Source organism: Homo sapiens, chromosome X (assembly GCF_000001405.40).
Source record: "Homo sapiens chromosome X, GRCh38.p14 Primary Assembly".
Lineage (NCBI taxonomy): Eukaryota > Metazoa > Chordata > Mammalia > Primates > Hominidae > Homo > Homo sapiens.
This window is the reverse complement of record NC_000023.11, coordinates 77,445,841-77,457,986: the sequence shown is the minus strand read 5'-3', so window position 1 is coordinate 77,457,986 and position 12,146 is coordinate 77,445,841. Positions and strand designations below refer to the sequence as shown.

Genomic DNA, 12,146 nt, shown 5'->3' with positions numbered 1-12,146 from the left:
TTGATTTGTGTTTATTTATTTATTTTATTTTTTGGAATTAGAATCTTGCTCTGTCACCCAGGCTGGAGTGCAGCGGTGTGATCTCGGCTCACTGCAACCTCTGCCTCCAGGATTCAAGTGATTCTCCTGCCTCAGCCTCCCGAGTAGCTGGGGTTACAGGCACCTGCCACCATGCCTGGCTAATTTTTGTATTTTTAGTAGAGACGGGGTTTCACCATGTTGGCCAGGCTGTTCTCGAACTCCTGGCCTCAAGTGATCCACCTGCCTTGGCCTCCCAAAATGCTGGGATTACAGGTGTGAGCTACTGCACCAGCCGATTTGTGTTTATTTTGAATCCCTTCATCTTCATATCTGAAGTAAGAAGCCCCCAATTAGTGTTTTGACCTTAGGGCTTTGGACCCTAACCAAGTCCCAAAGGAGAGTTTCTCTATGCATAGTCCTAAGCACAAATGGGAGCTTCAGTAATAGCTGTTGGTCTAGGCCTTCCTGAAGCTTTGATTCACCTGTATGTTTAAAGTCATAGAACTGGAAAGGACCACTAGGACTTCACATAAGGCCTCTAGATAATGCTAACATATTGGCTGATGGAGTCATCTAGCATAGGCAGTGTGATGCCAATATCAGAAAATTCTAATGAGTTGGAGAGAAAGAAGCTGGCCAACCTTCTAACCCTACTAAATGTACAAATCAATAGAATTAGACAGAATCTTACAATATAAAGACAAATTTTATTGTCAGTAAAAGCCTTTAATAACTCATTTTATCCTGTTTCAGTAGGACCTTATTCTTTCTGATGAAAATCCAGCCATCGCATCTCTCATTAAAAATAAAATTATTATTTTGAAATAAATAAATATATAAAATAAATAGCATATACATTTTATAAATAGTTTGTCCTTATGCACAGTATCCATGCTTACATTTTAATATCATTTTCTTACAACCTACCCCATCTCCCACTTCCAATGACAGGAAAACTGCATGTCAGGACAGATGAGAAATCTGCAGAGCCAATGCAGGGAAGGCTTGCAGCAAGGCTGTAGCCCCAAGGATTTTCTTAATGAGACTTTTCCAAAGCTCTGTAGGTAGCATCTGTGGCAGATTCCTTGGCCTTTCATTTATACCCATTGTCAAGGTATTTGAGTAAATTGTGGGGTAAGACACCCCTGGCCCTTAGCAGGGGCTCCCATTCTTTGTTATGCTACCTCAGGGGAAGGAACATGAGTAAAGAAAAAAGTATATACAAGATTCCCTCGAGCCCAGCCCCCCATCCCTCCCCAAAATAACCCAACCTTGATATACACTTTGAACAACAAGGGAACAGCTGGGTTGAGTTCAACAGTAAGTGCTTTTCTGTTATCTAAAATGATAGGAAGGAAGGATTGAAAAGCTATGAATATAGTGCTTGCAGAGACAACCGTGGCCCCAGGGTACATGGGTCACAGAGGGCACACCAGAGGTTCATTACCTATAGTGAAAGAGGTCTCTGGACATGGAGGGCAACTTAGAAGGATCTACAGGCCTGGGTAAAAAGTGAGTGAATTTCTGGTGTCGTTTAGTCCTGTATCCCTCCCGGGGTGAGCCATCTTTGTTCAGGGCCACGTAATACTGTCTCTCTGAGTCCGAATGTTTGTACAAGGTTGAGGCATAGGTGTTGTACCAGTTTTCTTCAAACTGTTCCCGGAAAACACATTCACGTGTGAGTTTCTTCTGTGAGGGTGAGAAAATAAAGCAGAACCCATTATATGACTATTTCTCCTATCCCAGCTTGCTAGTAGAGAAACCCTGAAATAGCAATAGCACATTGATGTTAGAAAATTCCAGTCCTATCTCTCTGTATTACTGGAGGTAACTTTCTTCCAAATAGCACAAAACACTCTTGTCTGTATCTCCTTCATTCTCTTTCATGAGTTACACAGAAATGTTTTAGTTGAAATCTTTCCTGAAGGGAGGAGATTGGAGGAGATGGCATCACCTGGCTCTCTGAGCCTGAGAATTGCTGCTATGGCCTCCCAATGCCCTGCTGGTACCCACTGAGCTTTCTCCCTACTTAGAGCTAATGATGTTCAAATTCATTGAGATTACAGTCAACCATGTCAACTAACAGGCAAAGGCCTCGGATCTATATAAAGCTCCATGGGAGGTGAGCTGTGATCTCTCCTAATGAAGGGTCTCAGGCCTGTCAGTCTGAAAGCTCAGAAAAGATCTCCTTGAAAAGCTCTTCCAATCTGGCTACTTCAGGCTGGCAGTTCCTGGGTCTCTTGCCTCTGTCCCTTCTCACACTTGATCCAACCGCCATACTACTTGCTGGAGTTGCCAATACTGAGTGCTGGGGACAGGCCTATCTCTTAGGTGTCATGGAAAAATGTGTTCTGATTTCATGGGGTGCAGGCAGCCAGAAAGTATGCTATGTGACTTAAAAGCCAGAGCCAGGAGTTGGGATCCCCTGGAAGGGTTAAGGTCAGTAAATCACTCACCATTCCTCAGTGCTAGGCTAGCTTCCAGAATAGAGAAAATGCACTGCCGCTAGCCTAGTCCTAGCTGAGGGCTTAAGGCTGTCACCAGACCCTGGAACCCTCATTCTTCATTTGTTTGTTTCATTTGGCCTTTGGGACTCAGCTGAAGCAATCTGGAAATCAGGGACTGTGTTGTTAACCTCAGAATCCTCAATTTGAAAGCCAGCTCTTCCACTGCCTATTTTTGTTCCTGCTAGTCTGCTACTCCTCTGGGTACACATTCAAATTCAGATGTACTCCCCTGGAGGGTTAATGCCCCAAACCCTGACCATCTACTGCCAAACCAGCACAGGTTACTGTTATCATCAGACTAGCTGGCCTTCTAATGAAAAAGGCAAAATCACATGTATCAGAGAAAAGCTTATGTTTTGGGGCCGGGTGCAGTGGCTCATGCCTGTAATCCCAGCACTTTGGGAGGCCAAGGCGGGTGGATCACTTGAGGTCAGGAGTTCGAGACCAGCCTGGCCAACATGGTGAAACCCAGTCTTTACCAAAAAATACAAAAAATTAGCCTGGCATGGTGGTGCATGCCTGTAGTCCCAGCTACTCGGGAGGCTGAGGCAAGAGAATCACTTGAACAGGGGAGGTGGAGGTTGCAGTGAGCTGAGGTTGCGCCACTGCACTCCAGCCTGGGCAACAGTGTAAGACTCCATCTCAAAGCAAAAAAAAAAAAAAAAAAAGCTTGTTTTGGTGGGGGCCAAATGAGTGAAGGTGTTATGTAGCAAGACCCTGAGCAGCCAAGAAGTAACTAGAAGACACTACTCCTTTACAGCTAAAAAAGGGCTTTCAAGTGCTAGATAAATTTCTTTTTTTTTTGAGATGGAGTCTCACTCTGTTGCCCAGGCTGGAGTGCAGTGGCGCAATCTCGGCTCACTGCAACCTCTGCCTCCCAGGTTCAAGTGATTCTCCTGCCTCAGCCTCCTGAGTAGCTGGGATTACAGGTGCATGCCAGCATGCCCGGCTAATTTTTTATTTTTTATTTTTAGTAGAGATGGAGTTTCACCATGTTGGCCAGGCTGGTCTTGAACTCCTCACCTTGTGATCCGCCCACCTCAGCCTCCCAAAGTGCTGGGATTACAGGCGTGAGCCACCATGCCTGGTCCCCAGATAAATATTTTTATACTTTTGCTTTACATTGTCCAAACACTGGTTGTAATAACCTCTGACCAAAAAAAAAAAAAAAAAAAAAAAAAAAAAACCTTAAACTTACCGACCCATAGAGTTCTCCTCGCTCATTCATTCCTAGGTACAGGCCAGAGTCCACTCCCCGGATGCTGATCAGCCCCACAGCCAGGCTGATAAACTCCAGGATTCCTAGGGCAAAAAGTGAACACTATTCCCATTACCAGCATCAAACTAAGAGAAAGCTGTTCAGGTGACATGAGCTACCAGTCATTTGTCCCCAACTGGAGGCCAGCCCTGTGTGCCTTTGATAAAATGCCTGATGAAACCATCTTTTGCGGCAAGAATGGAACCTCAGAGAAGGTACTTAGTCTCTTTGGGCCTCAGTTTTTCCATATGTAAAACGGGGGACACCATCTCTGCTTCTACTCAACACTCTTAGGCATATTATGAGGAAGAGACCATGAGAAGGCTTTGGCTACAAAAGCTCCATAATTGCAAGGTGCTATTGCTCTCAAATTCAAGAAACGGGAAGTTTTCTAAATGCAAGAAGGACAGGTTTCTGTATCTTTCCCTGTAACCTCCCTCTTCCTTAGAGCACGCAGCATTACCTTGCTGTCCTCTAGGCTGAACTTGTTTTGTGCCCTGTCAGCCCCCATGTCCTTAAAGCCACATGAGGCCGTCAACTGCCTGTAGCTGACTCTAACAAAGGTCACACAGGCCACTCACTGTTTGTTCCCCCTGCTTATGGCAGGAGGCAAAACTTGGCCACATGAGAGCTTTCTCCTAAAAAGCATTCTCAGCTAGTACAGCCCCAAGCTGACAAGCCTATCATTCTCTTTTGAGAATTTTAAGTTTATCCACAGCAAAGAGTTGGCAGGTGGTATTGGACTCAATACTGATTTGAGATGTTGTAACTTTAAGGCCAAAGAGAAGAAATTCAGAAATGTCCTCCTAGCGGACAATATTAGAGGTGAAGATTTGAAAATGCTTTCATTTACCCAGCAGCAGTCCTAAGTGAGAAAAAGGACCCAGAACTGAAATCCTGGTGGTACTGAAGACTACAATTTTGTCCCAAGATAGTACGTCTATTATCTAGATACAGACATAATAGTCAACTAGATTCCTCTTTGATATTCCTGCCTGTAATCACATTTCTCAACATACAGACCAAAAACTTGTTTAAGTCATCCAAGGTATGAAATGAGCTCATATCTGGCTGTCTTTCTTATCCAAAATTGCAATTCTGTTTTTTTGTTTGTTTGTTTTTTGAGACAGGATCTCACTTTGGCACCCAGGTTGGAGTGCAGTGGTGTGATCATGGCTCACTGCAGCCTCAACCTCCCCAGGCTCAGGTGGTCATCCCACCTCAGCCTCCCTCGTAGCTGGGACTACATGCACGCATCACCACACCCAGCTAATTTTTTATTTTTTCTAGAGACAAGGTTTCACCATGTTGCTAAGGCTGTTCTCAAACTCCTGGGCTCAAGCAATCTGCACACCTTGGCCTCCCAAAGTGTTGGGATTACAGGCATGCACCACTGTGCCTGGCCCAAAAATGCAATTCTTAAGGGTAATAATATTCTATGTAATCTATATAGGGAGTAGAGCTGATTTTCCAAGATCAAGAATTTTAAGCGGCTAATTTTAAAATCAGGTTAAAACTCTACTGGGAAGTCTCCTGAGGAACCCCAGTGACTCAAGTTGGTGGGCTGCTGTTCAGGTATGGCAGCTTTGGGGGCATGTGCTTCCACAACCCACCCAGATCTTTTGGAAGGATGTAAGGTTATTCTGCTGCAATTCTATAGAACACTCAGGGTTTGGCCTTTGGCCTCTCACACTGAAATCCTCCAAGTTTTATTCTCAGTCTGGTTGCTATTAAATTTTACAGTACAAAGAAAGGAGTCTCGGGAAATGAGATTGAGACAAGACGGTAGGAGGGGAAGAGAAAATACCCAGTGCCAAGTAAGGGTTAATCAGACACTGATTTAATGCAACCAAATCTTCAGCTGCACTGCACAACGTTTTGCATTTGGTTCTGCTCCGTTTGATATTTCAATAAATGACTTGTAAGAGAACATATGAGGACCGCTTATCCTAGTTCTAGAAGACGTACAGCTGAGAGGGATGACACAATCAATATCCAAAGAGATTTCAAGAGGATGGAAAAATGGAGTGGCTCCAGCAAACTATGCTTAATTAGAATCAATGTGAAGTCCTGCACTTTGGTCTCCCAAATTTACCAAAGTGTTTTGTGTTTGGGGTTTGGTTGGGGGAGGGTGAGCCTCAAGTGCAGACAGTTGAGTTAGCTGTACTGCTTAGATCATGTCCTATTAACATAGTTGGTCTGTGCAAGGGCTTTATAATTATCTATTTATTTCTTTCTTTTTCTCTTCATACCCTGCTCCCATCTGCCCCTCCACTTCAGGCAACCATGTATATTTTCTTGAAAATGTGTATTGTTATTTTGTGTTCTTGTGCATTTTAATTACACGCAAGTCTACCCATCTCTGCAATGGGGAAATGTGGCTTAGTAAAACACAACAATGGCTAAGAGACTTAATTGAACAAGGCAAACTCAGTATGATGGGTGATTAGCAGGATTATTAAAAAGCTAATGTACAATTGGTCATGTAAAATTAAAAATTAGAAAGCTAGTGGAAAAAATAGAAAAAAAGCTAGTGTGATCTAAGGCCTCACTGATACAGGTCTGGTAACTAACAAAAGGGAGGGAGGATTGTCCCACTCTGCTCTGCCATGGTTAGACCACACTGAGAATGGTGTGTTTAGTTCTACTGTGCTTAGAGAAGAAAATGGAAAAACAGAGCATGTTCAAAGGAGAGTGCCCAGTATGGAAAGGAAACTAGAAACCAGGTCATGATTCAGTTCTGGGTCCTAAACTCTGAGGGACACTAACGTGGGAGCCTTTAGTTCTTTGCTTTGCTCAGGCAGGTTACTCCTGAGCTTCAAGTCTGAGTTCCCTCATTCTGTAAGTATCTCATGTCTCTGACAACCCTGAGCTCATTAAGTAGCAGAGCACAGCTTGTGATCTCACTGCCCAAGACATAGTGTGAGAACAAATCATGAAACCCAAGAGGTGTGGCCATTTGAGTCACCACAGTTTTTCTCCAACTCTCTGTTAACCCTGATGCCAAAGGACAGATCATACAGGAAGTCACTTGGGTTGTGTCCAGTAACAGGGGTCTCCAACAGCTGGAATTATCCCTGCCCAGCTGTCTTTGGGCATCATTTTCCCTCGCCAACTTTCCTATTAGCTGGTTTCAAACTGTGGGAACCCAGTGGCACATGATGATGGAAGAGATATTCCTAAACCTTCTCCTGAATCCCAGCCAGCATGAAGGGGGAGAGAAAATAAGCCATTTTCATATTTTCCCAGCTACAGCTGGACAGGGGTGTTAACAGCAAAGTGTTGAGGTGAAGTATTAAGTAGACAAAGTTTGTCCTCAGTACTCTTACCCCTTCAAGGCCCAGGACCTCTCTCTACTCTGCCTCATCTTGACCTGCCCACATCAGGCTCTGCCCTTTTCTTGACAATTTCCAGACACTTCTTATACCTCTCTCCCCAGGCCCTCAGTCAAAACTGATCTGTTCTGGGCCCCACTGCTTCAGAACCTAGCTAGATGACTGTCTAATGTGTCATTTAATCTAGTTCCATAACTTGCCTGAATCCTTCAGCCATCCTGTCAGACCTTTGGGGCCGAGACAGTGCTGCTTTGGCATCTTGCCAAATGAGAACCAGATCACTCAAGAACCAAGGCAGCTGCATGAGCCCACTCCATCCCACCTGGTGGGAGGACTCTCCTTCAGTTTGGCTCCCAAGCTCTGCTCTGCCAGTCCACAGGTGCCCCTCGGAATGTCAGTATCCTTGTGAACTTCATATAAATGCTACCAGCCAGGCGGTGATTGAAATACTCCTGGCTACTGATTGCAGATGGAGAGCGGAGAGCATATGCTGTGCCAACAGGTTATTATTTGGAGTCGGGACTGCTCTTGGGCTTAGCCTGACTTGTTCTGAACACATGGATTCCAGGGTAATCCTTGGGGGCCCTGCTCTCCAATTACAACAAATAGCTATTTACTTCACATGGCTTTTGGAGACTACCTCTTCCCCCCTAGCAGAAATCTATAATATTTTATATCTTAAGTCTGGCCTACTTTACCCTGCTGGAATGTTGACTGCTAAAGCACTTATGGAATGTTAAAGTTTCAATTTATTGAATACCCTGGCTGATTAACTCAAATGTGGAGGGAGGAAAGAGTTAGCAAACTTGAACGCCACCTCTTTCTGTGCCAAAAGCTAAACTGAGAAAGAGTATGTGTTTTAAAGTTGGCAGGGAAGGTTACAAAGAGACAGCTTTGGCCAGTTATCATTTTCTTTACAGGAAGTGCAGGAAAGTGACAGGAAGTCAGGGAAGGAGGAAAAGGAAAAGGTGATGCAGAGGTGCTCTTAGCCAGTGTTGTTTTCTTTTTCAAAGGCAAAACCAAAAATGAAGCAGTCAGTTAAGCAGCAGTGAAAATGTCCCTTCCTCCTGCCAATCTTATTTCCTTTGGTTTCTCCTTAAACTTAACACCCTTAGCAGACCTGGGAAATGAAAAGAAATCAAGATGTGTCTTTAGGGAGGTAATTAAAGACCACTTATCCCAAGAGCCTATTACTGATTTATGTTGACCTTGTAGGTTACTGGGCTCAGCTTAGGCACAAAATCAGAAAAATATTTGGAGCTGCTGGGAGGTGTGCTCATAATTTTTCCACTTTCGCTACCCCCACCCCACATCTCTCCATCATTTCATGATCTTTTTTTTTGGTTACATATCGGCAATGAGTTACTCTGGTATCTTTATGCCATTTCAGGAAGCCTCTGAGGCCAGTGTGGGAGTCCTATTCCTTAAGAAGAGGAACAAAAGGGGACTGCAAAATCACAAGCAATGAAAGGGAAAGGAGCCAAGTTAACACTCCCTCTCCTCCCACTCCACCTTATCACCCTTTTGAGGACCTGCTGCAAGTTTATACAGACACCTGCACCCCTCCATTACCCCTCCCAACCTACTGTACTCTAGCTATGTTTGAGTGCATTTTTCCAAGATACCATAGACCTCATTAGGGTTTCTGCCTGTTCCCAGCAAGGAAGACCAACCCTGCCCCTAAGTTGTTTGCTAGGCTTGGCCTTACCCCGCACTGGCCCCTATGTTCCCCTTTTTGCTGTGCACTCCAGATGCAGCTCTAGCAAGGCATGGAGAATAGGAGGATGGAGAGGTTTGGGGGGTTTGGGGCAGATGTTGGCAAGAAGGAGGGTGGGAAAAAGAAGGGAAGGGTGTCATGTCTGAGTGTAGGCAGAACATCTTACTGGCTTGGGGAAAAGGTGTCTTTCTTGGATTATAGGGTCCTTGGGAGGAAGCAGAGGACATTGGAGGATGCGGAGGGGCAAAGGTAGCTGTCACAGAACCCCCCATGATGTCTTAGTATAGAATTGGAAATTGAAAATAAAAATGGCAAATTACCGAGGAGCGAACACATTTGCTTAGAAACCTAATGATCTTTGTCTCAGATCAAGGCTTATATTAATTGTGTAATTAGTTCTATATGTGAGACAGGCAGCTGTGTTGAACAGTTTGTATAGTGGCAGGCAAACAGACAATCCTGGATGGAGGTTGAACGTTTCCTGCTTTGGGCCCAAGAGACAACTGTTTCTGGGACTGGGAGTGGGCCCAGGACGGTTTCCTCACTGAGGCAAGGAGTCCAGAGGTAGTTTCCGGCAAAAGCTGCCCCAGGACTTGTGCCCTTACACGGTGGACACCGCGAGGTTTTCCTAGATTCCCAATTCGTGCCAGGCTGCCTGGATTGTCTCCTACCCTGGACAGAGCGACCCCAAGGCAGGCGGAGGCCACAGCTGCCTGGTACCCACGGGCCAAAAGCGATTTGTGTGCCGGCCGACCGCCTCACATGCCCACGGCCCATGCAGGATCCTGTTCCAGGAAATCAGCTGCCACAGCCCTGCTGCCTTCGAGGCTCGGCCCGCGCTGCAGCCACGGTCCCGGCCTCCTAGGCGAGAGCTCCCACCCCTGTCTCAGCTCCACCTGCTTTCATTCAAGGCTTAGAGTCCAGCTCCCAGAACTACCCCCTTGCTCCCTGGGGAGATACTGTGGAGCGGCGAAAGGAGAGGCCCCACCGCAAGGCGCCCCCGCCCCCACCTGAAAGTGTCCGAGGGTGCAGGGCCCCCTGATGTCGAGAGGCCCACGACCGCGCCGTCGTGTCTCGCCTCGACTGGCCCGGACGACACCAAGCCCGGGGGCGGTCTGCGGGCCCTACGCCTGAGCCCGGAGCTGTGGGCTCCCCAGTGCGCCGTCCGCCCGCCTCCCGTTCCCCCGACCGCGTCCTCACCGAAGCGGCTGTGGTCGTGGCGGGTCCCGTGCACCGTGCCGTTGGGGAAGATCTCCAGGTGGAAGCCGGTGCGGCAGTAGAGCTGGCGGCGCCGCAGGATCCCCTTTAGGTGGGCGAAGTCTGTGGGTGAGCCACGCTGCAGCTTCCCCTCGATTTGGCCCAGGCGCTCGTTCAGGAAACCTGGGGAGTCAGCTAAGGGCACGTTCCCCAGAGACGAGGAGAAGCCGTGTAGATCCCAGTCCAAGGAGGCGAAGACGCCCCCCACCTCTGCCATGGCTGGGCCGATTGCGGCGCTGGTTGTGCTGGGCGCGCGCGGGCCGAGCCGGGGCCACGGGGCGCGAACTGCCTCTCCCCGCAGCGGGCGCGGGCGGTTCGGCGGCGCTCCCTCGCTAGCTCGCTTGCTCCGCGCTCTGCCGAGCTGCAGTCGACGTCTGTTCGCGTCCAAGGAACTTCTCAGTGGCGGGGAGCGCGGGGCAGCGTGCTCCTGACCTTGCTCTCAGTCAAAGTGCCTCTTCCCCTCCGCATCCATCTCCCCCGGCCTCTCATAGCTGGCTTCGTCCAGCTATCAGATGCAAACGGCACTTTATATACATACCCACTCCCCTTACATTGACATATTGGATATTTAAATACAAGCCACACCTCATTGGCATCCCCTCGGAGATTGGTGTGTGGGTTCTTTTTTTTTTTTTTTTCTTGCATCCATTTGGCTCTTTTTGGGAGAGGGGGGTGGAGGGAGAGAGCGAGCGAGCTTCACTCCCTCTTTTATTATGAAAAAATGGCAGGAAAAAGCTACACATTGCAGTGAGGCATAACTGCTTTTGGCAGGTTCTTCTGAAACTGCTGATGAAATAACAGAGCCCAGTGCGTGGAGGCCGCTGGCGCGCACGGCCACTCAAGGCCTGTTCCGTGGGGGTCTGTCTGTCTGCTGCCCGGGGGCTGTCCCCACCTCCCACGCGTCCTCGGGCTGCTGTGCTAGCCTTTGGAAAGTGCCATGAGACGGGAGTTGGGGGGTTCACATGCTCCTGATCTCCTCTTGTTCCCCAGTTGGTCGGAGGCTGCGGAAAGGGCATCTGACCCGGGACAGGGACTCCCTGGTTTCTTTGTTCCACGGCCCCCAAGTCCTAATTCCTACCTGTATAGGTTGGCGGGGTACCGAGGAAGTGAAAAACCTGGAAGCCAATGCAGTTGCAAAATTTGGGGTTGGGGGTGGTGGTCCTTGCAGATTCCAAGGGGAGGGCCTTACGGGGTCTGAGAGGAGCGGGAAACCCCTCAGAGGAAAGATGAATTTTTATTTTTTTAAAGAAAGAGACGTTACAGCTTAGGCTTAGGAAAAGGAGAGGGGGAGTAAGAAATAGAAAGCGATCTTTTTGAAAAATGATCTCCGCTGGCTTTCTGGGCGCGCTTTTAAGAGGCTCTCGAGAGCAAGCTCAATGAGAGGCCATTGGAAGCCTGGTGGGGGCTTCCCCCCTACCTCGTTTCTTGTTGGAAACAGGTGTTTCCTCGTTCTGTCCAGTGCCTTGCTCCGAGATATTCTATCAGGAAGAGCGGCAGTTGGGACAGGAACCGGCGGCAGCCAGGTCAACGGGCAGCGTCCAGAAGTCCTGGGGAGCAGGTGCCAGACCTGCCCTGCACCCCTGCACCTGTGCCCCGAACCTGAATCCTGGGGCACCTATTGGGCCCTGGCACTCGGCGTCCCGATCGCCTGTGAAAGGGTGTTGTTACTTGGTTTTCACCCGCAGCCGGCGATGGCTGCCTTCCCAGGCTCCCTCAGGAGAAACTGAACACAGGGAGCCCCGCGCCATCCCCTCTCTTTGCAGCGCCTCCTGCTGGCGACCCCTAGTCTCGTGGCAACTTTGAACTCAGGGTCACCATGAGATGAGAAAACCGATTCCGCTCAATTCACTTAGTGCAATTCAGGGTCCTACTCCTGGGCTCCCACGTGCACCCTGAGCTCACTCCCCTGGAACCGTAGCAATTCTCGTTTGGGAGTATTGTGGCTTGGTACTGTTGTGCCTCTGCAGCTCAGACAGAACCTCTGAAGCCAAGCACAAGATGCGGCACATAATAGGCACACTCAGAAATAATCTGAGGTGCTCCCAGTAGCA

The 12,146-nt window shown here is 48.1% G+C and overlaps 1 protein-coding gene across 1 annotated transcript, besides 2 other annotated features; it reads right to left on the bottom strand.

The window, feature by feature from the left end:
• On the bottom strand, positions 709–10,598 carry FGF16 (fibroblast growth factor 16). The gene is made up of 3 exons (NM_003868.3): positions 10,039–10,598; positions 3,727–3,830; positions 709–1,710 (listed from the first exon to the last, which is right to left on the bottom strand). Exons 1-3 carry the CDS (start codon positions 10,310–10,312, stop codon positions 1,465–1,467), a joined length of 624 nt encoding a protein of 207 aa, NP_003859.1. The 5' UTR covers positions 10,313–10,598; the 3' UTR covers positions 709–1,464.
• Positions 9,064–9,565: an enhancer, noted in NCBI's record as "H3K4me1 hESC enhancer chrX:76703913-76704414 (GRCh37/hg19 assembly coordinates)". NCBI's record gives its function as "activates a minimal SCP1, AML or CMV promoter by ChIP-STARR-seq in naive H9 embryonic stem cells {active_cell/tissue: H9 hESC(naive)}" and the evidence as "EXISTENCE:reporter gene assay evidence [ECO:0000049][PMID:30033119]".
• Positions 11,511–11,700: an enhancer, noted in NCBI's record as "active region_29778". NCBI's record gives its function as "activates an Ori minimal core promoter by ATAC-STARR-seq in GM12878 lymphoblastoid cells {active_cell/tissue: GM12878}" and the evidence as "EXISTENCE:reporter gene assay evidence [ECO:0000049][PMID:35858748]".

Bases quoted from the DNA above. Each gene is read 5' to 3' on its own strand.
- FGF16 (NM_003868.3), bottom strand. From the start codon at position 10,312: ATGGCAGAGGTGGGGGGCGTCTTCGCCTCCTTGGACTGGGATCTACAC. The intron at 3,831-10,038 runs GTGAGGACGCGG...TTTTTGCCCTAG, and splicing joins CCACGACCACAGCCGCTTCG to GAATCCTGGAGTTTATCAGC. The intron at 1,711-3,726 runs GTAAGTTTAAGG...TCACCCTCACAG, and splicing joins GAGGAGAACTCTATGGGTCG to AAGAAACTCACACGTGAATG.